General features: G+C 42.5%; 1 pseudogene across 4 annotated transcripts in view, besides 5 other annotated features; it reads right to left on the bottom strand.

Moving 5' to 3' along the window:
• Positions 1–243: part of a non allelic homologous recombination region, noted in NCBI's record as "sub-region BR6, recombines with sub-region BR6' within the SUZ12 PRS4 recombination region", that runs on past the window's edge. NCBI's record gives the evidence for it as "EXISTENCE:nucleotide sequencing assay evidence [ECO:0000219][PMID:22837079]".
• Positions 1–1,857: part of a biological region, named in NCBI's record as "SUZ12P1 PRS4 recombination region", that runs on past the window's edge. NCBI's record gives its function as "recombination_partner: LOC108783653".
• Positions 1–27,666, bottom strand: part of SUZ12P1 (SUZ12 pseudogene 1) — an 83,223-nt pseudogene that overhangs the window by 18,502 nt on the left and 37,055 nt on the right. For 3 of the 4 annotated variants that reach the window (NR_144395.1, NR_144394.1, NR_144393.1), the window contains 4 exons: positions 14,790–14,838; positions 7,741–7,826; positions 5,265–5,495; positions 4,364–4,457 (listed from right to left, as the gene is read on the bottom strand). The product of NR_144395.1 is annotated as an SUZ12 pseudogene 1, transcript variant 4 (transcript). Of the gene's footprint in view, positions 1–4,278; positions 4,458–5,264; positions 5,496–7,740; positions 7,827–14,789; positions 14,839–27,666 lie in introns of those variants that run through there. The other variant, NR_024187.2, reaches the window with a different exon arrangement.
• Positions 582–806: a non allelic homologous recombination region, noted in NCBI's record as "sub-region BR5, recombines with sub-region BR5' within the SUZ12 PRS4 recombination region". NCBI's record gives the evidence for it as "EXISTENCE:nucleotide sequencing assay evidence [ECO:0000219][PMID:22837079]".
• Positions 1,554–1,628: a non allelic homologous recombination region, noted in NCBI's record as "sub-region R53327, recombines with sub-region R53327' within the SUZ12 PRS4 recombination region". NCBI's record gives the evidence for it as "EXISTENCE:nucleotide sequencing assay evidence [ECO:0000219][PMID:22837079]".
• Positions 1,756–1,857: a non allelic homologous recombination region, noted in NCBI's record as "sub-region R268011, recombines with sub-region R268011' within the SUZ12 PRS4 recombination region". NCBI's record gives the evidence for it as "EXISTENCE:nucleotide sequencing assay evidence [ECO:0000219][PMID:22837079]".

Genomic DNA, 27,666 nt, shown 5'->3' with positions numbered 1-27,666 from the left:
GCTAGAGTGCAGTGACACAATCATAGCTCACTACAGCCTCAGACTCCTGGGCTCAAGAGATCCTCCCACCTTGGTCTTCCAAAGTACTAAGATTACAAGTGTGAGCCACTGCACTCAGCCCTCTGTGAGATTTTAAAAACAATTTTTACACATCTAACATGCAGATTTTGGCTTAAAAATACTATTCTTCTATAAGGAATCAGGACTCCTTGAAGAAATCACAACTTCAGAGCAGAGGTAAGAGAAGGTTGGCCCGACGCAGTGGCTCATGCCCGTAATCCCCACACTTCGGGAGGCTGAGGTGGGAGGATCACCTGAGGTCGGGAGTTCAAGACCAGCCTGACCAACAGGGAGAAACCTTGTCTCTACTATAAATACAAAATTAGCCGGGCATGGTGGCGCATGCCTATAATCCCAGCTACTCGGGAGGCTGAGGCAGGAGAATCGCTTGAACCCGGGAGGCAGAGGTAGCGGTGAGCTGAGATCGTGCCTTTGCGCTCCAGCCTGGGCAACAAGAGCAAAACTCCGTCTCAAAAAAAAAAAAAAAAAAAAAAAAAAGGAGAAGGTGATTCTGGTATATGTTACTATTCTAGAAAATCAGGAAAAAATAGCAGCAACAAAACAGGACACAGAAGCCTACTTAGAAGGGCTCCTCCTGACAAAATATGAGACAATTTGAGCATTAAAATAACAGTATCAGTAGATTAAAACTAATTGAATAAATAGAATTTGTTAATCCATACTGATTTTAAAATATCAAAGCTGGGGAAAGGAATGCTCTTCTTTTTAAATTTACATGTAACTTTTTCTAAAATTTTTTTTTCTTTTTAGGAACGAGGTCTTGCTATGTTGTCCAAACTGGTCTCAAACTCCTGGGCTCAAAGTCTTCGCACCTTGGACTCCCAAAGTGTTAGGGTTACAGGTATCAGCCACCATGCCTGCCTGTTTCTCTCTCTCTCTCTCTCTCTCTCTCTCTCTATATATATATACACACATATATATATTTTTTTAGGGTTAGTCAAGTGAAGCAGTGGGAGCAGAGAACGAATGCTCTTCTTTATATAAAAATGCAAATAAATGTGGAAGAAATGTTAGAAAATTACCATTTTCCAACTGCCAAAGGAATAATTTATTCAAGCAAAAATAATCAATGCTAAAACTATTGGGTGACAGGCTATGGGAAGAAAATGGATATTTACTCAGCTTCATGTATTAGCATAAGAATTATATGCTGATTTATATAAAAGGGAAAAAAAGTAGTTACAATGGAGAAATATTGTGAACAGCATCTTAACGGAGTGATCAAACCTAACATTACCTTTCGTCTGTGATGTAGTACGTAAAAAACACATCACTCATTAGAATCCCTGCCAAAAATGTTTAACCTGAAGCTAATCAAGAGGAAATCATCACAGATGTCCTAATTGAGATACATTCTGCAAAACTACAGGCCTATACTGGGGGAAAAATGTCACAGAAGGTAGGGAGAAAGGCTAGGGGACTATTCCAAATTGAAGGAGACTGAAGAACTATGACATCTAGCTATGGAATCAGGGTGGGGACAGGACAAATTATAAAGGACATTATTGAGGTCAACTGGGGAGATAGTATTGTATTTGTATTTTAATATTCCTCATAAGTGTATGGTGGTTATACCAGAAAATGTCTTCGTTCTTAGGAGATACATGCAAGAGAGTTTATAAATGAGGAATAAAGCAAACTTTCAAATTGTTCAGCACAAAAATAAAATATATACTCATAAATAAATCAAATGTGGCAAAATGTTAACAACAGATACAATCTAGATGAAGGGTATGTGGATATTAAATGACTTTAGTATTCTTTCAACTTTCCTATAGTTTTGAATTTTTTTTTTTTTTTTTTGAGACAGAGTCTCGCTGTCACCAGGCTGGACTGCAGTGGCACGATCTCAACTCACTGTAACCTCCGCCTCCTGGGTTCAAGCGATTCTCCTGCCTCAGCCTCCCGAGTAGCTGGGACTACAGGCACGCACCACCACACCCAGCTAATTTTTGTATTTTTAGTAGAGATGGGGATTCACCATGTTGGCCAGGACGGTCTCGATCTCTTGACCTCGTGATCCGCCCGCCTCAGCCTCCCAAAGTGCTGGGATTACAGGCGTGAGCCACCATGCCCGGATGAGTATTTTCAAAATAAGCTGCTGTGGGGAAATTCTCCCAGTTTCTTCTTGGCACTTTTTCTTTAAAATAAAAGCATTATCTTTTTCTTACAAGAAATGTGTAAACATATGTGTCAGGTACAGTGATTAAAAAAGAAAACAGAACATACCCCATGCTGCCTAAAATAGAACAATTAACAGCATCGATGAAGTCCAATGCGCCTCATTCTAATTGTTTCCCCCACAGACATGACCACTATTTTCTAGTACATTTATGGTTCTATTGTTTTCCATTTAAATCTTCGATCCACAATAAAATTTCTGACTTTAAAAAGACACTGGCCGGGCACGGTGGCTCACCTGTAATCCCAGCACTTTGGGAGGCTTAGGCAGGTGGATGATGTGAGGTCAGGAGCTCCAGACCAGCCTGGCCAACATGGTGAAACCTCATCTCTCTAAAAACACAAAAATTAGCTGGGCATGGTAGCGGGTGCCTGTAATCCCAGCTATTCAGGAGGCTGAGGCAGGTGAATCGCTTGAACCCAGGAGACAGAGGTTGCAGTGAGCTGAGATCATGCCACTGAACTCCAGCCTGGGTGACACAGCGAGAGTCCGTCTCAAAAATAAACAAATAAATAAATAAAAAATAAACAATAGGAGGAATGGCCTAGTTACTTTCCCTGGTTCTTTGTCCTATACCTGACAATAAACTGTTAACTACCAGCACGCAGCCTGGTACAAGAAATGACGGCATAGGTTTCTTTCTCCAATCCCAAAAAGAAAAAACGCTGGATTTGCTTCCCAGACATTCTTTCACTGGTGATATTTTCACTAAAATATTTCGTTTCCAAAAAGAAATTGCAGAAATTATTGTACGTCTGTGTTTCTTGCCATCCTGTACCAAATGCACAGAGGTACACAATGATTATACATGATTTTCTTTTTTTTTTTTTAAGATAGACTTTTGCTCTGTCACCCAGGATGGAGTGCAGTGGTGTGATCTCGGCTCACTGCAACCTCTGCCTCCCGGGTTCAAGCGATTCTCCTGCCTCAGCCTCCTGAGTAGCTGGGATTACAGGCACACACCACCGTGCCCGGCTAATTTTTGTATTTTTAGTAGAGACAGGGTTTCACCATCTTGGCCAGGCTGGTCTCAAACTCCTGACCTCGTGATCCACCCGCTTCAGCCTCCCAAAGAGCTGAGATTACAGGCGTGAGCCACTGCGCCCGGCCTTCTTTCTTTTTTTAAAAAAGATGGGGTCTCGCCTAGGCATGGTGGCTCACGCCTGCAATCCCAGCACTTTGGGAGGCCAAGGCAGGCGGATCGCGAGGTCAGGAGACCGACACCATTCTGGCTAACACGGTGAAACCCCGTCTCTACTGAAAATACAAAAAATTAGCCGGGCGTGGTGGCACGCACTTGTAGTCCCAGCTACTCCAGAGGCTAAAGCAGGAGACTTGCTCAAACCCAGGTGGCAGAGGGGTTGCAGTGAGCAGAGATTGCGCCACTGCACTCCTGCCTGGGTGACACAGTGAGACTCCAGCCTAAAAAAAAAAAAAAAAAAAAAAGATGGGATCTCACTTTGTCACTCAGGCCAGAGTACAGTGGCATGATCATAGCTCATTGCTGCCTTGAACTCCTGGGCTCAAACAATCCTCCCACCTCAGCCTCCTATGTAGCTGGAACTACAGGTACATACCACCATGACCAGCTCCTCTTCCTTAGTTTTTAATAAACACATAACCCCAAGATTTACGTACGGCCCAGTCCATTTAAGTCTCTTCTCAAATACTACCTCCTCCCAGAGGATATCGCTCTAAAACAGTAACCATTTATTCTCTATTTTTCTTCACAACACTCATCACTAAGTGACATCAGTTGATTTTTTGGGTGGTGGTCTGTTTCCTCCACTAAAAGTTAAGCTCCATGGTGAAGGCAGGGATTTTGTTGCCTTAATGTCCAGAACAGTGTCTGGAAAAGAGCAGACACTCAAAATATTCGCCAAATAAGTAAGTTTAACTGAGCTATCTATGCAAATAGTTCCTTAATTATTGTTTTCTATGAAACAGACAAAAATTCAGTGTTTGCAAATTTGTTTTTTCATCCGTAAGAATAAAAAGAAACAAAGGCAATGAAATAATCAATATAAATAATTATATTCTGCTTCAGAATGAAAACATTTCCAGAACATTGTGGGAGCCTCGCTTGTTCATCAACATTACCTGTTTTTATCAAATACTGTCATTTGTGCAACAAATGTCTTTTCCCCATCCTCACGATTTCATTTTCTTCTGGCTGGAAGCTCTTCACTGACATCTAAATTTAACAAACATTTCTCATAAATCAAATATTAGAACAAAAATGTGTTACGATATATGGTCCCTTAACATAAAACATGCTACATTTATCCCAAATGAGGTAGGAATTACACTAAAGTTGCAATAATATACAGACCACGTTTCCAATTTTGCATTTTTACTATATGTTCTTTTTAACACTCACAACATTAACCCCACATCTTTGCAAATGCTAATGTTTCTGTTTAGAATTATCTTTGCTAGGCAAACTCCTTCTCACTCGTGGTAACTCCCAAAAACTTCAAACAATACTTCAAGAGTCAAAGATTATTTCTTCCAACGTGTTTCTCTGCTGAACTTCACATATACCTGTATTATGCCACTCATCATTTTGCAGCAATGATATATTTCATGTCTATTTCCCTACACTAGGTTGTGAGACTTTGGAGGACAGGACTGAATGCTTTAATCATCTTCGATTAAATTAAATCATCCCCAGCACCTATGTGTTTGTTGAATGAATACCTCAAAGATGAATTCACAATTGTTGGAAGAAAAGAGGGATGGGTAGGGGGATAAATATGCAACAAGTATAATAAAATATTCATTGTTGAATCTAAGAGGTAAGTAGATAAGTGTTCACTATAAAATACTTCTCATTGTCCTTTATGTTTGAAAATTTGCACAACAAAATGTTGAGGTGGAGGTGAATTCACTGTTTGCTTTAAGACTCAGCACCATGACTATCATGAAGGAACACTGGTACAATCATTTTCAATGACCATCTTAATCTCCAGTGATAAAATCTAGTAAAAAAAAAAATTACCAATATTTTCATGGTTTCTCCATTAATCATTCCATTAAACTCTCTTCTTCTTGGACGAGTCACTCTAAATAGCAACGAGTAAGACTTCACCATGTGGCTGTTACTAGGTTCAAATTCATTACTGGAAACTGCAAGGGACGGGAAATTTCCAGGTTTTGTTTGATTGAGGTCAGGATTCAAAGGCACCTGCTTTTTACCTGTGGGAACTTGCCTTATTGGACAACATACATCCTGCAAAGGTAAAGATTATTAATTTATATTTATTTGTATATAAGCAATAAGAATTATAATAAAAATTCTAATCACAGCTATAGGAAACACAGGAGATAGGCCATGATCACCAAATGGAATGTTAAAATTCTAACCATAGTTCTGAAAACTGTGAAGCAAAAATAAACATTTGAAATACCTATATTCCAAATATTAAAGCAATTGAGGTTTTCTCCAACATAATGAAATTATGATACAGTACATCTAATATTTAGCTAACAGTGATCTGAAACAGTTGTATATTAGAAATTTAGAATTAAAAGCATGCTAAATCTCTCTGGTAAGGCTTTTTAGCAACAACAAAAAAACCAGGCTAAAATGTTAAACTCATGTACTTTTATCAAATCTCTTAAATGTTCTATTTTAACATGACAATGACTAATAGGACCATTAGAAATTAAAAAAATGACTAATAATCCCATGGTCAACAACTACATTATGAAACAGTAAATCCATATAGTTAAAATATGTTGTTTAACAGAAAGGATCATCATCCTTAAAAAAACAAAAACAAAACTGGTTTTATCTACCAATGATCATATTCTGAGTAATATTCTGTTATAGTATGATTAGTTACACTGAAAATGCATACTAGAAAAACTGGAAGGATCAGAAGACTTTTATGACAGTATCTTACAGCAGCTACTTCTTTTAAAATAAATAGAATACATACAGTCTAAAAAAATTTCTATTTTATAAGACTATAAAGTGAAAACTATGAATTCTCACCCACCCCCAGGTCTTACGCTCCAGAGATGACTAATACTAGCAGTTGGCTGTGTATATTCTTCCAGGAAAATGATTACCCCGATACATTTTTTTGAACATAAGAATGACTATATTTATATTCATATCTTATTCTAAGTAATGTATCTTGGATTTTCATATCATCACTTGTAATGTGTATGGTGGTTAGGTAGGAGTAAGAAGCGATAAAGGCTGGAGTGCAGTCTTGCGATCTCGGCTCGCTGCAAGCTCCGCCTCCCGGGTTCATACCATTCTCCTGCCTCAGCCTCCTGAGTAGCTGGCACTACAGGCGCCCGTCACCACGCCTGGCTAATTTTTTGTATTTTTAGCAGAGACGAGATTTCAGCATGTTAGCCACTCGATCTCCTGACCTCGTGATCTGCCCACCTTGGCCTCTCAAAGTGCTGGGATTACAGGCGTGAGCCACCAGCACCTGGCAAGGAGTGATATTTCCTAACTTTACATACATTTTTTTTTTTCTTGAGACAGTTTCACTCTGTCGCACAGGCTGGAGCTCAGTGGTGCAATCATGGCTCACTGCAGCCTCGACTTACTGGGCTCAAGCAATCCTCCCAAGTAGCTGGGACTACAGGCACAGGCCATCATGCCTAGCTCATTTTCGTGTTTTTGGTAGAGACAGGGTTTCGCCATGTTGCCCAGGATGCTTAACTCCTGGGTTCAAGCAATCTGCCCACTTCTGCCTCCCAAAGTGCTGGGATTATAGGTGTGAGCTACGGCAACCGGCCTTTACATAAACTTTCAAAAATAAAGTTCCACTGCTGCCTCCATGGTGCCTTAGTCTACTCCCTCCCTGTGACTGAGGCCCTTATGGCCTATGGTCTTGGAAGAATATCAGCACTGGGACCCTGGACCCAGACCAGTTCCTACTCCTCTTGAAACACTCGAGGACTTGAGGCAACTAAAGGTACATATGTTGGCTTTGATCGGTTGACCAGGAAACATCTTAACACTTGTTTCTATGGTGAAATAACTTCACCTTATAAAAATTTGAAGCAATGTACTAATAAGTGAATGGCTAATAACGCTGACAACAAAATTTCTTTGCCTGAGAGCAGTGTTACAAAGGATAATCTTGTGGAAAAAACTCTCTCTTAGCTCTTATCTAAAATGTCAATGGGTACAAATAGCTAAGAAATACGCTAACAGATTGAAATGGTAGAAAAGCAACTGAATTTATGCCAGATGCTAAAACACAGCTTCTCCATTTCCAGACTCCTATGAGAAAAGTTTTGTACAGACACTTATTAAAAGACTAGAAAAACTACACAGATATGCGAGTTGGCAAAAGAGGTTATCAGTTTTATAATTAGGCCATCAACACATTTCTTAAGCTTTCAAAATTTAAAACTCAGCTTTAAAATACAATATATATGCATAAAGATGTCCAATTAAGCAAATTATTCCATTTAATCTACCAATATCATTTTGTTGACATTACCTTTCTTTTTTTGTGGCAAACTTTCACAAGCAGGACTTCCAGGGTAACAGAATTTTGTTCATTTTCTGAGTTTGGTGATGGCTTATCTAAATAGAAAATCAGTATTTTAAAATATATTTTAAAAATATATGAACACGGTATTCATTTTGCTAACAAGTCAGGGAACTTCAAACAGAGATTTCCCATAATAAGACTTCTCAAAAGTTCACTCATTCTTTTTTCCTCAAATCAGTTCCAAACTTACAGCAAACTCTTTAAAAGCCTTTATATATAGTGTAAATAAACCACTCACAAAACAAATATAATTACCGTCCTATATGCTGTAATTTTTTTTTCCATTAGATATAGGTTTTGCTCTGTTGCCCAAGGTACAGTGCAGTGGCACAATCACAGCTCACTGCAATCACAAGCTCCTGGGATCAAGTGATCCTCACACATCAGCACGGCAGCCTCCTGAGTACCTGGGATTACAGGCGTGAGCCACCATGCCCAGGTTGTAAGTATAAAAAATATTCACTGGCCAGGCATAGTGGCTCATGCCTGTAATCCCAACACTTTGGGAGGCCAAGGCAAGAATATCACTTAAGGCCAAGAGTTCAAGACCAGCCTGCACAACACAGAGACCTCGTCTATACAAAATGTCAAAAAATTAGCTGGGTGTGGTGGGTGTCATGTGCCTGTAGTCCTAGCTACCTCAGAGGCTAGGTGGAAGGATCTCTTGAGCCAAGGAGTTCAAGGCTGCAGTGAGCTATGATCCTGTCACTGCCCTCTAGTCTGGGCGAAAGAGTGAGATCCTGTCTCTAAAACACATCTACACATTTCCATTTATATATATATATACTTCCTAATTCCTTTTTTCTTTTCGAGACAGAGACTCGTTCTGTCACCCAGGCTGGAGTGCAGTAGGGCGATCTTGGCTCACTGCAACTTCTGCCTCCCGGGTTAAAGTGATCCTCCTACCTCAGCTTCCCAAGTATCTGGGACTACAGGTGCGCACCACGACACCCAGCTGATTTTTTTAATTTTTAGTAGAGATGGGGTTTCACCATGTTGGCTAGGCTGGTCTTGAACTCCTGACCTCAAGTGATCCACCTGCCTTGGCCTCCCAAAATGCTGGGATTAAAGGTGTGAGCCACCACACCTGGCCATATTTACTGAATATTTCTAATTTGAAGATTTAATATTTTTGTTTGTTTTTCAGACAAGGGTCTGGCTATGTTGCCCAGGCTGGTCTCAAACTTCTGGGCTCAAGTGATTCTCCCATTTTAAGCCTCCTAAGTAGCTGAGACTACAGGCACATGCAACTGGGCCGGCTTGAAGATTCAACATTTATGATAATACACTGCTAGTCAAAAGTAATTTTGACAAATACAGTTAAAGCTTCTTGGCAGAAAGCATAAATGAAAATAGTTGCAGAAGGGCCAGGTGTGGTGGCTCACGCCTGTAATCCCAGCACTTAGGGAGGCCAAGGCAGGTGGATCACCTGAGGCCGGGAGTTCGAGACCAGCCTGACCAACACGGAGAAACCCCGTCTCTACTAAAAATACAACATCAGCCTACAGCTAAAAATACAACAACAGATTACAGGTGGTGCACGCCTGTAATCTCAGCTACTTGGGAGGCTGAGGCAGAACTGCTTGAACCAGGGGTGGGGGGCAGAGGTTGCAGTGAGCCGAGATCACACCATTGCACTCCAGCCTGGGCAACAAGAGCGAAACTCCATCTCCAAAAAAAAAAGTTGCAGGAGACAACCACATTCAAAATAAGCATCTTCAATTTTTTTCTTCTCCTAAAATCTACTAGAAAAATTATTAAGATAACATTTGAATTAAATCAGTTACTATTATACATGTTTCATTATGAATGCATAGAGACAACTAAACTAAAAAGTTCTTGATCTGACCAAGACTTGTGGCCAAAAGGATAAAAAATGGATTTCAAAAAACATTAAACATTATAAAACGTAGAGACAGAGCTATTTTTAGACGCTTTCCCCAGAATTTCTCTACAGTTTAAATGGGATAACAAAAATCAAGATATTATTTACTATCTAGAAGAATATCTTGGCTTACAAAAAATTTAGGGGTGTTAATTTTGAATACCATAGTCTATATTCTCTATGTAAATTAACTAACAAAGGCTTTACAAATTAAGGTTCTAGAGTAGTCCTCCATAACTTTTTTTTAAAGTCCCAAAGGTATTAACAGTTCATAACTGAATATTTAATAAATAATTCATCAAATAGCTTCAATAACATCCAGAACTATTATAATAGATGAATCCATGAACATACAAAAAAAAATTTTTGTTCTAAGGCATTGGGCAACACATTTTTTCTTTCTTTACTTTTTTTTTTTTTTTTTTTTTGAGAGATAGAGTCTTGCTCTGTTGCCCAGGCTAGAGTGCAATGGAATGTTCTTGACTCACTGCAACCTCCGCCTCCTGGGTTAAAGCAGTTCTCCCTGCCTCAGCCTCCCGAGTAGCTGGGACTACAGGCACACGCCACCAAGCCCGGGTAATTTTTTTTTTTTTTCTTGAGTCAGTCTCACTCGGTTGTCCAGGCTGGAATGCAGTGGCACGATCTCGGCTCACTGCAGCCTGCACCTCCCAGGTTCAAGCACTTCTCATGATTCAATCTCCAGAGTAGCTGGGATTACGGGGATGAAACACCATTCCCAGCTAATTTTGTTATTTTCAGTAGAGACGGGGCTTCACCATGTTGGCCAGGCTGGTCTCAAACTCCCTACCTCAGGTGATCTACCTGCCTCGGCCTCCCAAAGTGCTGGGATTACAGGCCTGAGCCATTGCGCCTGGCCGGCAACACTTTTTTTCTACTTAAAAACATTCTTATTGGGGGTGTGTGTGTAAAACACATTTGATCAGTTTCTTCGGAAGTTGCATCCAGGATAAAAACACCTTAATACAGCAAAAAAATAGTCCAATGTCTAAATGCAGTAACAAAAATATTTGCCGAACAATACTCACCATGAAAATAGTACCCAAATAATCTTTGTGTATTCATTCTAAGAAGCAGTTTCAAGTATTAATTGCCAAACAAAAGTTTTCATTTAAAAACAAAAGAGGCCGGATGCAGTGGCTCATGCCTGTAATCCTAGCCCTTTGGGAGGCTGAGGTGAGAGGATCGCTTGAGCCCGGGAGGCTGCAAGGAAGCAAGACTGCTCACTGCACTCCAGCATGGGTGACAGAGCAAGACTCTGTCTAAAAAATAATAGTAAGAAAATAAGAAGAAAAAATCACATTTTAAGAATTAAAAATTTTTTTTCCTTGTTTTGAGAGAGGGTCCCACTATGTTGCCCAGACTCTATTCAAACTCCTGGGCTCAAGCAATCCTCCCAGCTCAGCCTCCTCAGTAGCTGGAAATACAGGCAAGCATCACTGCTGCTGGTACATTTTAGAGAACTTGATGTTGGTTTTCTATCCTGGTTTCTTAAAAATATTATTGAAAACAAAAAAGGTACAAATAAACCTTGGATGGAAAAGAAACACAATATATCTACTTCCAACTTCTACTAGTTTCAAAGTTATAATAGAAATTATTTTCAACATAGGCGTGGTGGCTCACGCCTATAATCCCAGCACTTTGGGAGGCCGAGGTGGGCGAATCACTTGAGGCCAGGAGTTTGAGACCAGACTGGCCAACATGGTGAAATGAAATCCTGTCTCCATTAAAAATACAAAAATTAGGGGCCGGGCTCGGTGGCTCATGCCTATTGAAATCCCAGCACTTTAGGAGGCCGAGGCGGGCAAATCACCTGAGATCGGGAGTTCAAGAGACCAACCTGACCAACATGGAGAAACCCCATCTCTACTAAAAATACAAAAAATTAGCGGGGCATGGTGGCGCATGCCTGTAATACCAGCTACTCTGGAGGCTGAGGCAAGAGAATTGCTTGAACCCAGGAGGTAGAGGTTGTGGTGAGCCGAGATTGCGCCATTGCACTCCAGCCTGGGCAACAAGAGCGAAACTCCGTCTCAGAAAAAGAAAAAAAAAATTAGCTAGTGTGGTGGCACCCGCCTGTAATCCCAGATACTTGGGAGGCTGAGGCATGAGAATTACTTGAACCTGGAGGCAGAGGCTGCAGTGATCTGAGATCAAACCACTACACTCCAGCCTGGGTGACAGAGGAATTATTTTCTGGAAACAGATATCAACAGAGTTCACTATCTCTTTTACTTCAATATCAAGAAAAATAAAAACAAAGTAAATCTGAGCAATTGTTGAACTTTATATATTTTGTCATGTAGATAGGAAAAAAGCTTAATATGACTACTTTCCAAAAAGTTCAGTGATGGATAAACTATGTGTTCTACACAGGTCCCTGAGAACAAAGGGCTAATGAATGTATAAATTTCAAATTATAAGCTTCTGAAGAATTAAAGTCTAGACACGTCAGAAGTACCACAGAAAACAAAATACGATGACTAGAGATAAGGACTCTAAGCAGACCATTACAAATAATTTAAGGAAAACAAAAATCATAATGCTACCCAGGTTACTTCTATATAAAAATAGACCAGATCTAAGGTAAAAACTAGAAGTTACATTAGCTGCTAATACAAATACGAGATTTCAAATTTCTTACATAAAAACCCTAACTAGGGCCAGTCTCAGTGGCTCACACCTGTAATCCCAGCACTTTGGGAGACTGAGGTGACAGGATCACTTGAGACCAGGAGTTTGAGACCAGCCTGGGAAATGTAGTGAGATTCCATCTTAACAAAAAAAATTTTTTTTAATTAGCCAGGCATGGTGGGGACGCCTGTAGTCCCAGCTACTCAGGAGGCTGAGGCAGGAGGATCACTTGAGCCCAGGAGTTGATCACACCACTGCACTCCAGCCTGGGTGACATGAGCAAGACTCTGTCTAAACAAACAAACAACCCCAAAGAGTCATTAAAAAATGGTTATATTAGAGCATTTTGACAACTGGCCAATTGGCAAGGTTGTCTTTTTGTCTTCTTTAGACAGTGTCTCACTCTGTCACTCAGGCTGGAGTACAGTGGTGTGATCTTGGCTCACTGCAGCCTCAACCTCCAAGACTCAAGCAATCCTCCCACCTCAGCCTCCTGAGTAGCTGAGACTACAGAACAGCTGGGACTACAGGCATGTGCCACTGTGCCCAGTTAATCTTTTTTTACCTCTTACAGATAGGTTCTCCCTATGTTGCCCAGGCAAGCCTCAAGCAATTCTTCCATCTCAGACTCCCAAGGTGTTGACATTATAGCTGTGAGCCACCATGCCCAGTCTAATATTTGGGATTTTTTGGAGACAGAGTCTCACTCTGTTGCCCAGCCTGGAGTAGAGTTGTGCAATCATAGGTAACTGTAACCTTGAATTCCTGAGCTTATGCCATCCTGCCATCTTGGACTTCCAAGTACCTAGAACTACAGGACATACCCACCATACCTGGCTAATTTTTGTAGAGATGGGGTCTGTGTTGCCCAAGCTGGTCTTGAACTCCTGGCCTCAAGTCATCTTCCCATCTCAGCCTCCCAAAATGCTGAGATTACAGACATGAGCCACCAAGCCAGGCCTCATTTTCTTTTCTTTTTCTTTTCTTTTTTTTTTTTTTTTTTTAAGAGAGTCTCGCTGTCACCAGGCTGGAGTGCAGTGGGATGATCTTGGCTCACTGCAACCTCCAACTCCCGGGTTCAAGCGATTCCCCTGCCTCAGCCTCTCAAGTAGCTGGGACTACAGGTGTGCACCACCACGCCCAGCTAGTTTTTTTGTATTTTAGTAGAGACGGGGTTTCACCATGTTAGCCAGGATGGTCTCAATCTCCTGACCTTGTGATCCACCCGCTTCGGCCTCCCAAAGTGCTGGGATTACAGGCGTGAGCCACCGTGCCCGGCCCACCAGGACTCATTTTCAATCTTTGTTTCTTACTAAACGATACCAAGACAACCAACCTGGCATGTTTCTAATAATGGTTTTATTCCATTGCATAATAAAAATATATGCCATATACACAGACTTATGATGGATAAGCTGATAAGTAATTTTCCCCCCCTTTTTTTTTCTGAGATGGAGTCTCGCTCTGTCGCCCAGGCTGCAGTGCAGTAACACAATCTCAGCTCACTGCAACCTCTGACTCTCAGGTTCAAGCGATTCTTCTGCCTAAGTCTCCCAAGTAACTGGGACTACAGGCACCCACCACCACGCCCGGCTAATGTTTATATTTTTAGTAGAGATGGGGTTTCACCATATTGGCCAGGCTGGTCCTGAACTCCTGGCCTCATGATACACCCGCCTCAGCCTTCCAAAATGTTGGGATTACAGGCATGAGCCACTGCACCTGGCCGTATTTTTCCATTTTTAAAACAACTCTAATTCTTTCCAGCATGCTTTGAGCTTTTACGGGAGTAATATACTATATAATTTCCTTTGAATAATATTTAAAATATTAATATATGCCATTGGTAATAGTGGTTATTTCAGTTGTTTTACTGTGTTTTTTAAAAACATGATACATTATCAGTAATTCAAAATGTTTATGCATAAAAGGTTCTACTGAGGAGATTCTTTACCTATTGAAGTTCTAAGACAATTTGTTAAAATGTTCATCATTAGCCAGGCGTGGTGGCTCACGCCCCCTTGGGAGGCCAAGGCGGGTAGATCACGAGGTCAGGAGTTCAAGACCAGCCTGGCCAGCATGGTGAGACCCTGTCTCTACTAAAAATACAAAAAATTAGCCAGGCATGGGGCGCGTGCCTGTAATACCAGCTACTCAGGAGGCTGAGGCAGGAGAATTGCTTGAACCCGGGAGACGGAGGCTGCAGTGAGCCAAGATCACAACATTGCACTACAGCCTGGACGACAGAGCAAGAGTCTGCCTCCCCCACCACCCACCCACCAAAAACAAATTTCATCATTAGCCTTCATACCTTAAAGCTCAAAAACATCAGAATCAACATCTTTTCCATTAAACTTAATTTTATAAATTTACACTCAGAAGCCCCACTTTTTTTTTACATTCACAAAGGTATCTTGCTATTAAAATGCCACTTTATTTACTTTTAAGTACATACCATTTTTGTGGAAGAAACCAAAAATGTAAGCTGCAAATGAGCTGACAAGCTAAAAAAAAAAAAGGAAATATTTTATCATTTTAATGCTCTGTAGTAAAATAACCTAGACTTTAAAATATAACATTGAAATCAAAGTTACTTCAACTAATTTATAAATATTTGTACTCAATTGTTATTCAGGCCCATGACTCTATGCTTTCCCTGTTAAATATGACATCCAAAAGTTTGTCTATACACCTAACAAAAAATAAACAACAAAAAATCCCTCACAACTCACAAAAAGTAAGAACAAAACCACAAAAACACCAGAGCAAGGCAGAAAAAATCAGACTACCAAGTTGGAGGCCAGGTAATTTACTGTGTTTTAGTGTTCTACCTATAAAATGACAGCAGGTATGCCTTCCTATCTTTAAAAAGGAATTTTGGAGGGTTTTTGGAATTCTTTTCTTGTTCTGTTTTAATGACGCTTTAGTCAATGACTTCATCAAAAGGAAATTTTGAAAAGGGTAGCTAAATCCATGCAAAAAAATTTGAATATTTTGAAGCTATGGAAATTCAACCTTCCCAATAAATTATACAGAACCATTACTTTATACTTCAAATAGCAATGAAATACACAATTACAAATCTGGTATAGATCTATAATTTACTGTTTCAATATATCATTTTCACTGTTAGTTTTAGAAGCTATGGAAAAGCAAAAGAAAGCATGAACTAGAACTAGTGCTCCTTCTATTTTCACAAACATCTATTAACAATAGAAAAAAACTATAAGGATGGGATAAAACAAACAGAAGCACCAATAAGCTTTTGAAGTACCTTTAAACTGCAAAACAGAATACAGCTGTTGATCAGGAGACATTCATAACTTTCCTGAGCATAGTTTCCATAGTGTGACATGTACAGACACCAGATTATGGAGGGCTATACAGAACAGATGGTGGGGAAAGGAAAGCAGTACTGATCCCTTACATAAGGCATTTACTAATGAAATAGTTGCTGGGCACTAAGGACTAGTAAAGGGCATATATATATATTTTTAAATGATGGTGACAATCTAGGCATTTTTATAGTCAGATGGGAACAGTTACAGAAAGATATTGTGGCAAGAGAGTACTAAGGAGCAAGTAATGACTGGAAATAAGGACATATTATGAAGAGGTTAGCCCTGTAAATTTGACCAGGACTCCTCTTTTTCTTTTTTTTGAGATGAGGTTTCGCTCTTCTCGCCCAGGTTGGAGTGTAATGGCGCAATCTTGGCTCACTGCAACCTCCACCTCCCGAGTTCAAGCGATTCTCCTGTCTCAGCCTCCCAAGTAGCTGGGATTATAGGTGTGAGCCACCGAGCCCGACTGGATTCCTCTTTTTCTAAGATAGAGAAATAAGAGGCAAGTAAGAAAGTCATTTCCATGGAAGATGGGGGGATATCTCCATCTACTTAGTGAAGTAGGCCATGAAACTGTCTGCTAAAAAAACTACAGTGTGGGCCGGGCGCAGTGCCTCACGTCTGTAATCCTGGCACTTTGGGAGGCCGAGGCAGGGGATCACCAGGTCAGGAGTTCGAGACCAGCCTGGCCAATATGGTGAAACCCCGACTCTACTAAAAATACAAAAATTAGCTGGGTATGGTGGCACATGGCTGTAGTCTCAGCTACTCAGGAGGCTGAGGCAGGAGAATCGCTTGAACCTAGGAGGCAGAGGTTACAGTGAGCCGAGACTGCGCCATTGCGCAGTCAGGCTTGCAGAAAGTAATAAAGTATCCAGCAAAATACTCTCTCCCTCTTCTACAAAGACCCTAAACCCAATCAATCAAGAGCTAAATGACCACTTTATCCCTTTACAAGCACTCTTATTTACCACTGTTTAGTCACTATTTTTCCATATACATCTTTTTATTAGTGTCCCTAGCACCTAGCAGTGTCTTACAGAAAATGACCCAACAAATTTTTTTCATAAGATAACGTCCTCCTAGAGTAATACAAATTTAAAGGTCAGGAATGATGGCCCATTACACTGCAGTACTATTAGTATTATTTACATTATTTTTCTGAGAAGTGTGAGGGTAAGCTCCAACTCTGAAATGCCAGAAAGATCTTACATTTATTTACCCCAGAGAATATTTTAAATCAGTATTACTTAAAATGTTGTCTACAAACTGAGGTCATTAGGAAAAATGTTACCATTCTACAACAACTCAAGAACTTGAGAATACTACTAACAACACACTGAAAATTAACAAATAAACAAAATGATCTTTCACCACAGGTGATTTCAGACAGTTTTAAATGGTACATTATACCTTACATAGGATAGCCTGTATAACCAGCTTTGTTTTGTTTTGTTTTTCTTTGAGACGGAGTCTCACTGTAGCCCAGGCTGGAGTGCAGTGGCACGATCTCAGCTCACTGCAACCTCCCACCTGGGTTCAAGTGATTCTCCTGCCTCAGTCTCTGAGTAGCAGGGATTACAGGTGCCCGCCACCATGCCAGGTTAATTTTCCTATTTTTAGTAAAGATGAGGTTTCACCACATTGACCAGGCTGGTCTAGAACTCCTGACCTCAGGTGATCCACCCGCCCTGGCCTCCCAGTGCTGAGATTACAGGTATGAGTAATGGGCCCAGCCAACCAGCCATTATTATACTAGTGTTTCTTTGTGAGAAAGAATTTTTTTTTTTGAGACGGAGTCTCGCTCTGTCACCCAAGCTGGAGTTCAATGGTGTGATCTTGGCTCACTGTAACTTCTGCCTCCCAGGGTTCAAGCCATTCTCCTGCCTCAGCCTCCTGAATAGCTGGGAGTCAGGCACATGCTGCCATGCCCAGTTAATTTTTTGTATTTTTTAGTAGAGAGAGGTTTCGTCGTATTGCCCAGGCTGGTCTCAAACTCCTGAGCTCAGGCAATCCACCTGCCTCAGCCTCCCAACATGCTAGGATTACAGGTCTGAGCCACCATGCCCGGACTTTGAGAAAGAATTCTAAATTTCAATTAACCAATTTTAAAAGGCAACATTGGGGCCAGGCACGGTGATTCACACCTATAATCCCAGCACTTTGGGAAGGAGGCAGGGGGAATCACTTGAGGTCAGGAGTTGGAGACCAGCCTGGCCAACATGGTGAAACCTTGTCTCTACTAAAAATACAAAAAATTAGCCGGGCGTGGTGACACCTGCGTGTAATCCCAGTTACTCAGGAGGCTGAAGCAGAAGAATAGCTTGAACCTGGGAGGCAGACATTGCAGTGAGCCAAGATCACACCACTGCACTCCAGCCTAGGTGACAGAGCAAGTCTCAAAAATAAATAAATAAATAATAAATAAAGGTGACATTGGGAATGTGACTTGCTATGCATGATTTCCCCTTCCTCACCTAAAAGTAAACACTCTGGCTGGGCGCAGTGGCTCACGCCTGTAATCCCAGCACTTTGGGAGGCCGAGGCGGGCAGATCACAAGGTCAGGAGTTCGAGACCAGCCTGACCAACGTGGTGAAACCTCATCTCTACTAAAAACACAAAAATTAGCTGGCCGTGGTGGCAGGCACCTGTAATCCCAGCTACTCAGGAGGCTGAGGCAGGAGAATCGCTTAAACCTGGGAGGCAGAGGTTGCAGTGAGCCGAGATTGCGTCACTGCACTCCAACCTGGGCAACAGAGCGAGACCCCGTCTCAAAAAAAAAAAAAGTAAACGCTCTGATATGTACCTAGAATAAAGTGTACCAATGATCCCTTCCATAGGTGGTTTGTTCCAAGGAAAAGGGCAAAGTTTTCTCTCCCTTCCCTCTCCCCTCTCTTGCAGCTACTTTGTCCACATCTTAATTGGTTAGGCTGGACCAGATGAACGGGAGGAAAAGAAACATGTAAGGTTGGTCAGGACTATTTGGTTTTAGGCCACAACAAAATCTAGTTTACATGACCAGAATAAGATATAAGAGACTTAGTTCATCTATGTCACATGCTCCCTGTATCTTCTCAGGAAGTAAGCCACATGATAACAAGAAATCAGGTAGAGAATTTGAAATTTTGAGACGCAAATTTCAGCATTCCAAGCACAAACATCTGACAGTTCTGATACGGTCTACAGAAAATGATGCTAAGCTAATTCATAAGAGACTAACACTTTGAAATCTAATTCAAGGAAGAGCCTCCCATTTTAAGAACAGCCAGATCCCACAGAGGAAGTAGTTTTTATGACAACAGGAGACCAAGATTAGTGCCTCTAATTTATATACATCAATCTGCTAGCGGCAGGCATAAGGCTTCATTTTAAGGGTATGGCAGTATTACCTCAAAACAGGACAAGTCTGATAATCTACTTGGTTTCTATAGTTACATGTTAGCTATTCAACTTTTGTTATATACATTTGATCCTATGATATGTAAAGCTGAGAAACTCGTGTCTACATCAAGTCCAATATTCTGAAATCCAGGATCTCAAAATATAGGGGTTAGACGCACTTTCTAATGAGAAGATAAAGCTGAATGGTGGATGATGTGTGTGTGTCTATTAATTACAAATGGATCACTCTGCAGAAGTACTGTGAAGAAAACAAAGGAATTACTACAAAACCAAAAAAATTATACAAGGAATATTTTTACAATTTGTTCTTGAATATTCAAATTTTTAAGAATCAGATATGCTCAAATGGCAACTGATGAGGCACCTTCAAGAGTAAGTATGCAAAAAGAAATGTATAGCCAGGTTCTGAAAAAAGAACAAAAACTCAAGACTGAAAAGATGACAATTTGAAAACAACTTCAAAGCTTATAGTCAAGGCAAAGTGTATTAAAAAAAAGAAAGGGAAAACATCAGATCTTATTAATGGTGGGAAAGACACACAACCAACCTAAGATGTAGTCTACAGATTTTATTTATTTATTTATTTTGAGACGGAGTCTCCCTCTGTCACCCAGGCTGGAGTGCAGTGGTGCGGTATCTACTCACTGCAACCTCCGCCTCCTGGGTTCAAGCAATTCTCCTGCCTCAGCCTCCCGAGTAGATGAAATTACAGGTGCACGCCACCATGCCCAGCTAATTTTTTATTTATTTATTTATTTATTTTTGAGACAGAGTTTCACTCTGTAGCCAGGCTGGAGTGCAGCGGTGTAATCTCGGCTCACTGCAACCTCCGCCTCCCAGGTTTAAGCAATTCTCCTGCCTCAGCCTCCCGAGTAGCTAGAAATACAGGCACGTGCCACCACGCCCAGCTAATTTTTGTATTTTTACTAGAGACGGGGTTTCACCATGTTGGCCAGGATAGTCTCAATCTCTTGACTTCATGATCCGCCTGCCTTGACCTCCCAAAGTGCTGGGATTACAGGCATGAGCCACCGCACCTGGCCTAATTTTTTGCATTTTTAGTAGAGATGGGGTTTTCCCATGTTGGTCAAGCTGCTCTCGAACTCTTCACCTCAAGTGAACCGCCTGCCTCGACCTCCCAAAGTGCTGGGATACAGGCGTGAGTCACCATGCCTGGCCAGCCTAAAGATTTTAAAATGCAGCTAAATGTACAAAATAGAAAAGTAGGAAAAAATCATTAATACAATAGTTCTCTTAAAAATAATTTAATAGGTCGGATGCAGTGGCTCACGCCTGTTATCCTAACACTTTAGGAGGACAAAGTGGGCAGATCACTTGAACTCAGTACTTCGAGTCACACTAGGCAATACGGTGAAACCTCATCTCTACAAAAAGTACAAAAGGGGCTGGGCGCGGTGGCTCACGCCTGCAATCCCAGCACTTTGGGAGGCCGAGGTGGGCGGATCATGAGGTCAGGAGATTGAGACATCCTGGCTAACACGGTGAAACCCCATCTCTACTAAAAATACAAAAAAATTAGCCGGGAGTGATGGCAGGCGCCTGTAGTCCCAGCTACTCCAGGAGGCTGAGGCAGGAGAATGGCATGAACCCAGGAGGCAGAACTTTGCAGTGAGCGGAGATTGCGCCACTGCACTCCAGCCTGGGTGACAGAGCAAGACTCCGTCTCAACAACAACAACAAAAAGTACAAAAGGTGATCCAGGGCCAGGTGCAGTGGCTCACACCTGTAATCCAGCACTTTGGGAGGCTGAGGCTGGTGGATAACTTGAGGTCAAGAATTCGAGACCAGCCTGGCCAACATGGTGAAACTCCGTCTCTGCTAAAAATACAAAAACCGGCTGGGGGCAGTGGCTCACGGCTATAATCCCAGCGCTTTGGGAGGCTGAGGCGAGCAGATCACCTGAGGTCAGCAATTCGAGACCAGCCTGCTCTACCTGGTGAAACCCTGTCTCTACTAAAAATGCAAAAGAATTAGCTAGGCGTGGTGGCAGGCACCTGTAATCCCGGCTACTCGGGAGGCTGAGGCAGAAGAATCGCTTGAACCTGGGAGGTGGAAGTTGCAGTGAGCCAAGATCACGCCACTGTACTCCAGCCTGGGCAAGAAGAGAGACACTCTGTATCAAAAAAAAAAATTCAAAAATTATCCGGGGATGGTGGTGCATATCTGTAATCCCAGCTACTCAGGAAGCTGAGACAGGAGAATTACATGAACTCAGGAGGTGGAGGTTGTAGTGAGCAGAGATCACACCACTGCACTACAGCCTGGGCAACAAAGCAAGACTCCATCTGGAAGAGAAAAAAAAAAAAAACAAAAAACATAGCCAGGTAGTCCCAGCTAATCAAGAGGCTGAGGAGAGAGGATCTCTTCATCCCAGGAGGTTGAGACTGCAGTGAGCCATGATCGTGCCACTGCACTCCAGCCCGGGCAATGGAGCAAGACTCTATCTCAAAAATAATAATAGTAATAAAATAAGGCCGGACACGCTGGCACAGGCCTGTAATCCAGCACTTTGGGAGGTCGAGGTGGGTGGATCACTTGAGGTCAGGAATTCAAGACCAGATTGGCTAACACAGTGAAAACTAGTCTCTACTAAAAATACAAACATTAGCTGGGCATGGTGGCACACACCTATAATCCCAGCTACCTGGGAGGCTAAGGCATGAGAATCTCCTGAACCTGGGAGGCAGAGGTTGCAGTGATCCTAGATGGTGACATTGCTGAGCCACAGAATGAGACTGTCTCAAAAAAACAAAAAATATATATATACATATATATACACACATATATATACACACACACGTATATATAGAGAGAAAAAAATAATTTAAGAATTTAATGACTTTTTTACATACCACAATACTAGTCGAGAAGTGCAATAATAGCAGAGGTGGGTAGGGAGGGTTTTCGGTGATATCTCGAGGTTCTGAAGTGACCAAAGAGCAGCATCCTGCTCCTGGAACTCAGATTACAATCCTAACCATCATATGTACTACTGGTCTGATGTTAGAAGAAACAGAACAATGCAGAAACAATAACTATATATATTTAAAAACTGACTGGGTGCGGCGGCTTATGCCTGTAATCCCAGCAGTTTGGGAGGTTGAGGTGGGCCGATCACGAGGTCAGATCAAGACCATCCTGGCCAACATGGTGAAACCCCATCTCTACTAAAATACAAAACATTAGCCAGGCATGGTGGCCATGCCTGTAGTCCCAGCTACTCCAGAGGCTGAGGCAGGAAAATTGCTGGAACCCAGGAGGCAGAGGATGCAGTGAGTCGAGACTGCTGGCAACAGAGTGAGACTCCCTCTCAAAAAAACAGTAATATTGGCTGGGCGCGGTGGCTCACGCCTGTAATCCCAGCACTTTGGGAGGCCAAGGCGGACAGATCACGGGGTCAGGAGATTGAGAACATCCTGGCTAACACGGTGAAACCCCATCTCTACTAAAAAATACAAAAAATTATCCGGGCGTGGTGGCAGGCGCCTATAGTCCTAGCTACTCAGGAGGCTGAGGCAGAAGAATGGGGTGAACCTGGGAAGGCAGAGCTTGCAGTGGGCCGAGATCGCACCACTGCACTCCAGCCTGGGTGACAGAGCGAGACTCCGTCTCAAAAAAAAAAAAATAATAATAATAATAATATACAACTTTTAAAACAACAGGCTGGGTGTTAATGGTTCACACTTGTAATCTCAATGCTTGGAGAGGCTGAGACAGGAGGACTGTTTGAGGCCAGAAGTTTGAGACCATCTTGGGCAACATGACAAGATAATGGATCTCTACTAAAGTTTTTCTGAGATGTAGTCTCGCTCTGTTGCCCACGCTGGAGTGCAATGGCGCGATCTCTCCTCCCTGCAACCTCCATCTCCCAGGTTTAAGCGATTCTCCTGCCTCAGCCTCCTGAATAGCTGGGATTACAGGTGCACGACACTCTGCCCAGCTAATTTTCGTATTTTTAGTAGAGATGGGGTTTTTACCATGTTGGTCAGGCTGTTCTCAATCTCCTGACCTCGTGATCCGCCCACCTCGGCCTCCAAAGTGCTGGGACTACAGGCATGAGTCACCGTGCCCGGCTACAAAATTTTACAAAATCATCCAGGCATGGTATCTTGCGCCTGTGGTCCTAGGCTATTCGGTAGGCTGAGGCAGGAGGATCATTTGAGGCCAGGAGGTCAAGGGTAAAGTGAGTCATGATCGCACAATTGCAATCCAGCCTGGGTGATGAAGTGAGACCCTGTCTCCTAAAAAAACTTTTTTTAATAAAATAAAATAAGTGGGACATGGTAGCATGTGCCTGTAGTCCCAGCTACTCAGGAGGCTAAGGCAGGAGGGTTACTTGAGCCCAGGAGCTCATGGCTGTAGTTGAGCCATGATCACACCACTGTACTGCCGCCTCAGCGACAGGGCAAATCCTCATCTCTAAAAAGTAAAATAAAAAATAAAGTAAGACAACGGAGCCTGGAAGTTCGAGGATGCAGTAAGCTATGAACGTATCAATGCACTCCCGTGTGGGTGACAGAACAAGACCCCACGTCTTAGAGAACAAAAAAAAAAGAACGAACGACTTTCTTAAGACCAACATCCTTAAATTACCTTGAAGACAATGCACTGTCTGGCCCTGGCCATCTGCTCCAGCTTCTTCTCATACCACTCTCAAGGAGACTTGCTCTTTCTACACAGCTACTCTGGCATCAAATGCTGTATATGTAATATTCCCTTTAACTAGAACCACCTATTTGTTCATCCTCCCACCCCATTTTACTTCTGTACACTTCTTTCAAATCTCAGCTTATTTCTTCAGAGATGCCTTTCCTGATCATCATTATTCCCAAATCTAACACCTCAAATGAAAGCTGGTTCTCCTGTTTTATACACTCACAGTTTTCTTATGCTTTTCCTTCCCAGCACTTATTTCATATTTATTAAATGATTATGTCTTTCTCCCCTAAACACTAAGCTCCATAAAGGCAGGGCCTTCATCCATTTTGTTCACCCTTATATACCCGAGGGCTTAGTATAGTGCTTAGGACATTGCACACTACGGAAATGAAACGTGCAACCAAGAATATAGATGCAGGCCTTCTTATTGTAAAAATAAATGCTTAAAAACGGGGAGGTTTAGAAAAGGAAGGTTACTAATTCAAAAGCTTAGGTTGCATCAAAAACAAAAAGTCGGCTGGGCACGGTGGGTCACGCCTGTAATCCCAGCACTTTGGGAGGCCGAGATGGGCAGGACACGAGGTCAGGAGTTCGAGACCAGCCTGACCAACATGGTGAAACCCTGACTCTACTAAAAATACAAAAATTAACCAGGCGTGGTGGTGTGTGCCTGTAATCCCAACTACTCAGGAGGCTGAGGCAGGAGAACAGCTTGAACCCTGGAGGCGGAGGTTGCAGTGAGCCGAGATGGCACCACTGCATTCTTGCCTGGGCAATAAAGCAAGACCCCGTCTCAAAAATAAATAAATAAATAAATAAATAGTCAAAAAAGGCACATTGACTTATCAACCTACTAAAAATAAAAATGAGCCGGGCACGGTGGCTCACACCTGTAATCCCAGCACTTTGGGAGGCTGAGGCAGGTGGATCACAAGGTCAGGAGACCGAGACCATCCTGGCCAACATGGTGAAACCCCTTCTCTACTAAAAATACAAAGATTAGCTGGGCGTGGTACCACGTGCCTATAATCCCCAGCTACTCCGGAGGCTGAGGCAGGAGAATTGCTTGAACCAAGGAGTTAGAGGTTGCAGTGAGCCGAGTTCGCGCCACTGCACTCCAGCCTGGCGACAGGGCGAGACTCAGTCTCAAATAAATAAATAAATAAATAAATAAATAAATAAATAAAAATTCAGGCTGGGCATGGGGGCTCATTCCTGTAATCTCAGCACTTCAAGATGTCGAGGTAGGAGGATCACTTGAGGATAGGAGTTCAAAACTGGCCTGGGCAACATGGTGAGACCCTGACTCTACAAAAATTCAAAAAATTAGTGTGGTGTGACAGTACATGCCTGTAGTCCCAGCTACTCAGGAGGCTGAGGCAGGAGGATCCCTTTAGTCCACGAGTTCAATCCATCAGTGACCTATCATTATGCCACTACACTCCAGCCTCGGTGACAAAGCGAGACCTTGTCTCAAAAAATAAAAATAAGGCCAGGCATGGTGGCTCACACCTGTAATCCCAGCAATTTGGGAGGTCGAGGCGGGTGGATCACCTGAGGTCAGGAGTTTCAGACCAGCCTGGCCAATAGGTGAAACCCTGTCTCTACCGGAAAAAAAAAACCAAAAATTAGCCGGGTGTGGTGGCAGGTGCCTGTAATCCCAGCTACTGGGGAGGCTGAGGCTCAAGAACTGTTTGAACCTGGGAGGCGGAGGTTGCAGTGAGCCAAGATCATGCCACTATATTCCTGCCTGGGTGACAGAGCAAGACTTTGTCTCAAAAAATAAAAATACATGCTTGAAAATAACCCTAATAAAAGTTCTAATTCAGGTATCCTTTGAGGGGATTTTTCTCCAGCTACTAACAGAAGACCAGGAATAGAAGAGGAATAAGGACAAGAGAGAAGTGACATTTTGCTTCGTTTAGCCCTGGTAAACACTCGGAAGCAACTCAGCTTTAAAAATCTTTTCATGATGCATTTTAGTCCATGGAGATGCACTCAGCACTCAAGAGTTGTTACCAGAGAATTCCAACATTGGGGACAGGCACAGTGGCACATGCCTGTAATCCCAGCACTTTGGGAGGCCACGGAAGGTGGATCACTTGAGGTCAGGAGTTCAAGACCAGCCTGACCAACATGGTAAAACCCTGTCTCTATTAAAAATACAGAAAGTAGCTGGGCGTGGTGGCAGATGCCTGTAATCCCAGCTACTCAGGAGGCTGAGGCATGAGAACTGCTTGAACCCGGGAAGAGGAGGTTGCAGTAAGCCGAGATCGCGCTACTGCACTCCAGCCTGAGCGACAAAGCTACATTCCATCTCAAAAAAACAGCAATAAAAAAAAGATAATTCCAAAATTGGTAGGACAGCATAAGAATCGCTAGCATATACAACTACACAAAGGCAAGAGATTTATTCTAATCAGCCATAGTGCCTGGTCAAAATCCAAGAAAAATTCAAAACTGGAGTACCAGAAACAAGAGCTGGAAAGGATGTAAGGCATTATATCAGACCTTCTGTAAAGAAAATAAAGGCCAGGCGTGGTGGCTTACACCTGTAATCCCGGAACTTTGGGAAGCCAATCTGAAAGGATCACTTGAGGCCAGGAGTTTGAGACCAGCCTGGGCAACATAGCAAGATGCTGCCTCTACGAAAATTTAAAAATTAGCCAGGCATGGTGGCATGCACTTGTAGTCCTAGCTATTCAGGAGGCTAAGATGGGAGGATGGTTTGAGGCCAGGAGTTAGAGGCTGTAGTGAGCAGCCACTTGCGCTCCAGCCTGGGCAACAGAGCAAGACCCTGTCTCTTAGAAAAAGAAGGCTGGGCGCAGTGGCTCATGCCTGTAATTGCAACACTTTGAGAGGCCAAGGTGGAAGGATCACTTGAGGTCAGGAGTTTGACACCAGCCTGGCCAACATGGTGAAACCCTGTCTCTACTAAAAATATAAAAATTAGTTGGACGTGGTAGGGCATGCATATAATCCCAGCTACTAGGGAGGCTGCGGCAGGACAATCTCTTGAACCTGGGGGATGGAGGTTGCAGTGAGCCAAGATCGCACCACTACACTCCAGCCTGGGCGACAATGTGAGACTCTGTCTCAAAAAAAAAAAAAAAAAAAGGCTGGGCGCGGTGGCTCACACCTGTAATCCCAGCACTTTGGGAGGCCAAGGCGGGTGGATCACGAGGTCAGGAGATCGAGACCATCCTGGCTAACATGGTGAAACCCCGTCTCTACTAAAAATACAAAAAATTAGCCAGGCGTGGTGGCACGCACCTGTCCCAGCTACTCAGAAGGCTGAGGCAGAATGGCATGAACCCGGGAGGCGGAGCTTGCAGTGAGCTGAGATGGCACCACTGCACTCCAGCCTGGGTGACAGAGCGAGACTCCATCTCAAAAAAGAAAAAAAAGAACTAATAACCATTTAATAGCCCATGTTTTTCTATCAGCTCCTTCCACCAACAAGTTTCTGCAAATGACTTAAGACAACTGTAGGTCTAAAATATAAAAGACCCTGAAACACCAACTTCTTTTGAACAGATTAATGCTCATATCTTGGTTTAGTTTATAAATTACTACAAACGTCATAATAAACTCAGGCATTTATTTGACTGAACTAACTTTTGGGCCATACTACTATGGTATTTTTATCTTGATACCCCTTGAACTTTGAGGAATGAAATATATTGGGCTCAGGAGCAGACATACTATAACTTTGGCAGTGCTAAAAGAACATGAATTCTAGTGGAAGACTCCCAGACTAGACCTGTACAGATCCAGGACCCAGTTAAACTGAAATAGTACAAAGAATATATGCCAGGCGCGGTGGCTCACGCCTGTAATCCCAGCACTTTGGAAGGCCGAGATGGGCGGATCACAAGGTCAGGAGATCGAGACCATCCTGGCTAACA

The sequence above is a fragment of the Homo sapiens genome, chromosome 17 (assembly GCF_000001405.40).
Source record: "Homo sapiens chromosome 17, GRCh38.p14 Primary Assembly".
Classification (NCBI taxonomy): domain Eukaryota; kingdom Metazoa; phylum Chordata; class Mammalia; order Primates; family Hominidae; genus Homo; species Homo sapiens.
Note: the sequence above shows the minus strand (reverse complement) of the source record. Positions and strands in the feature narration are given on the sequence as shown.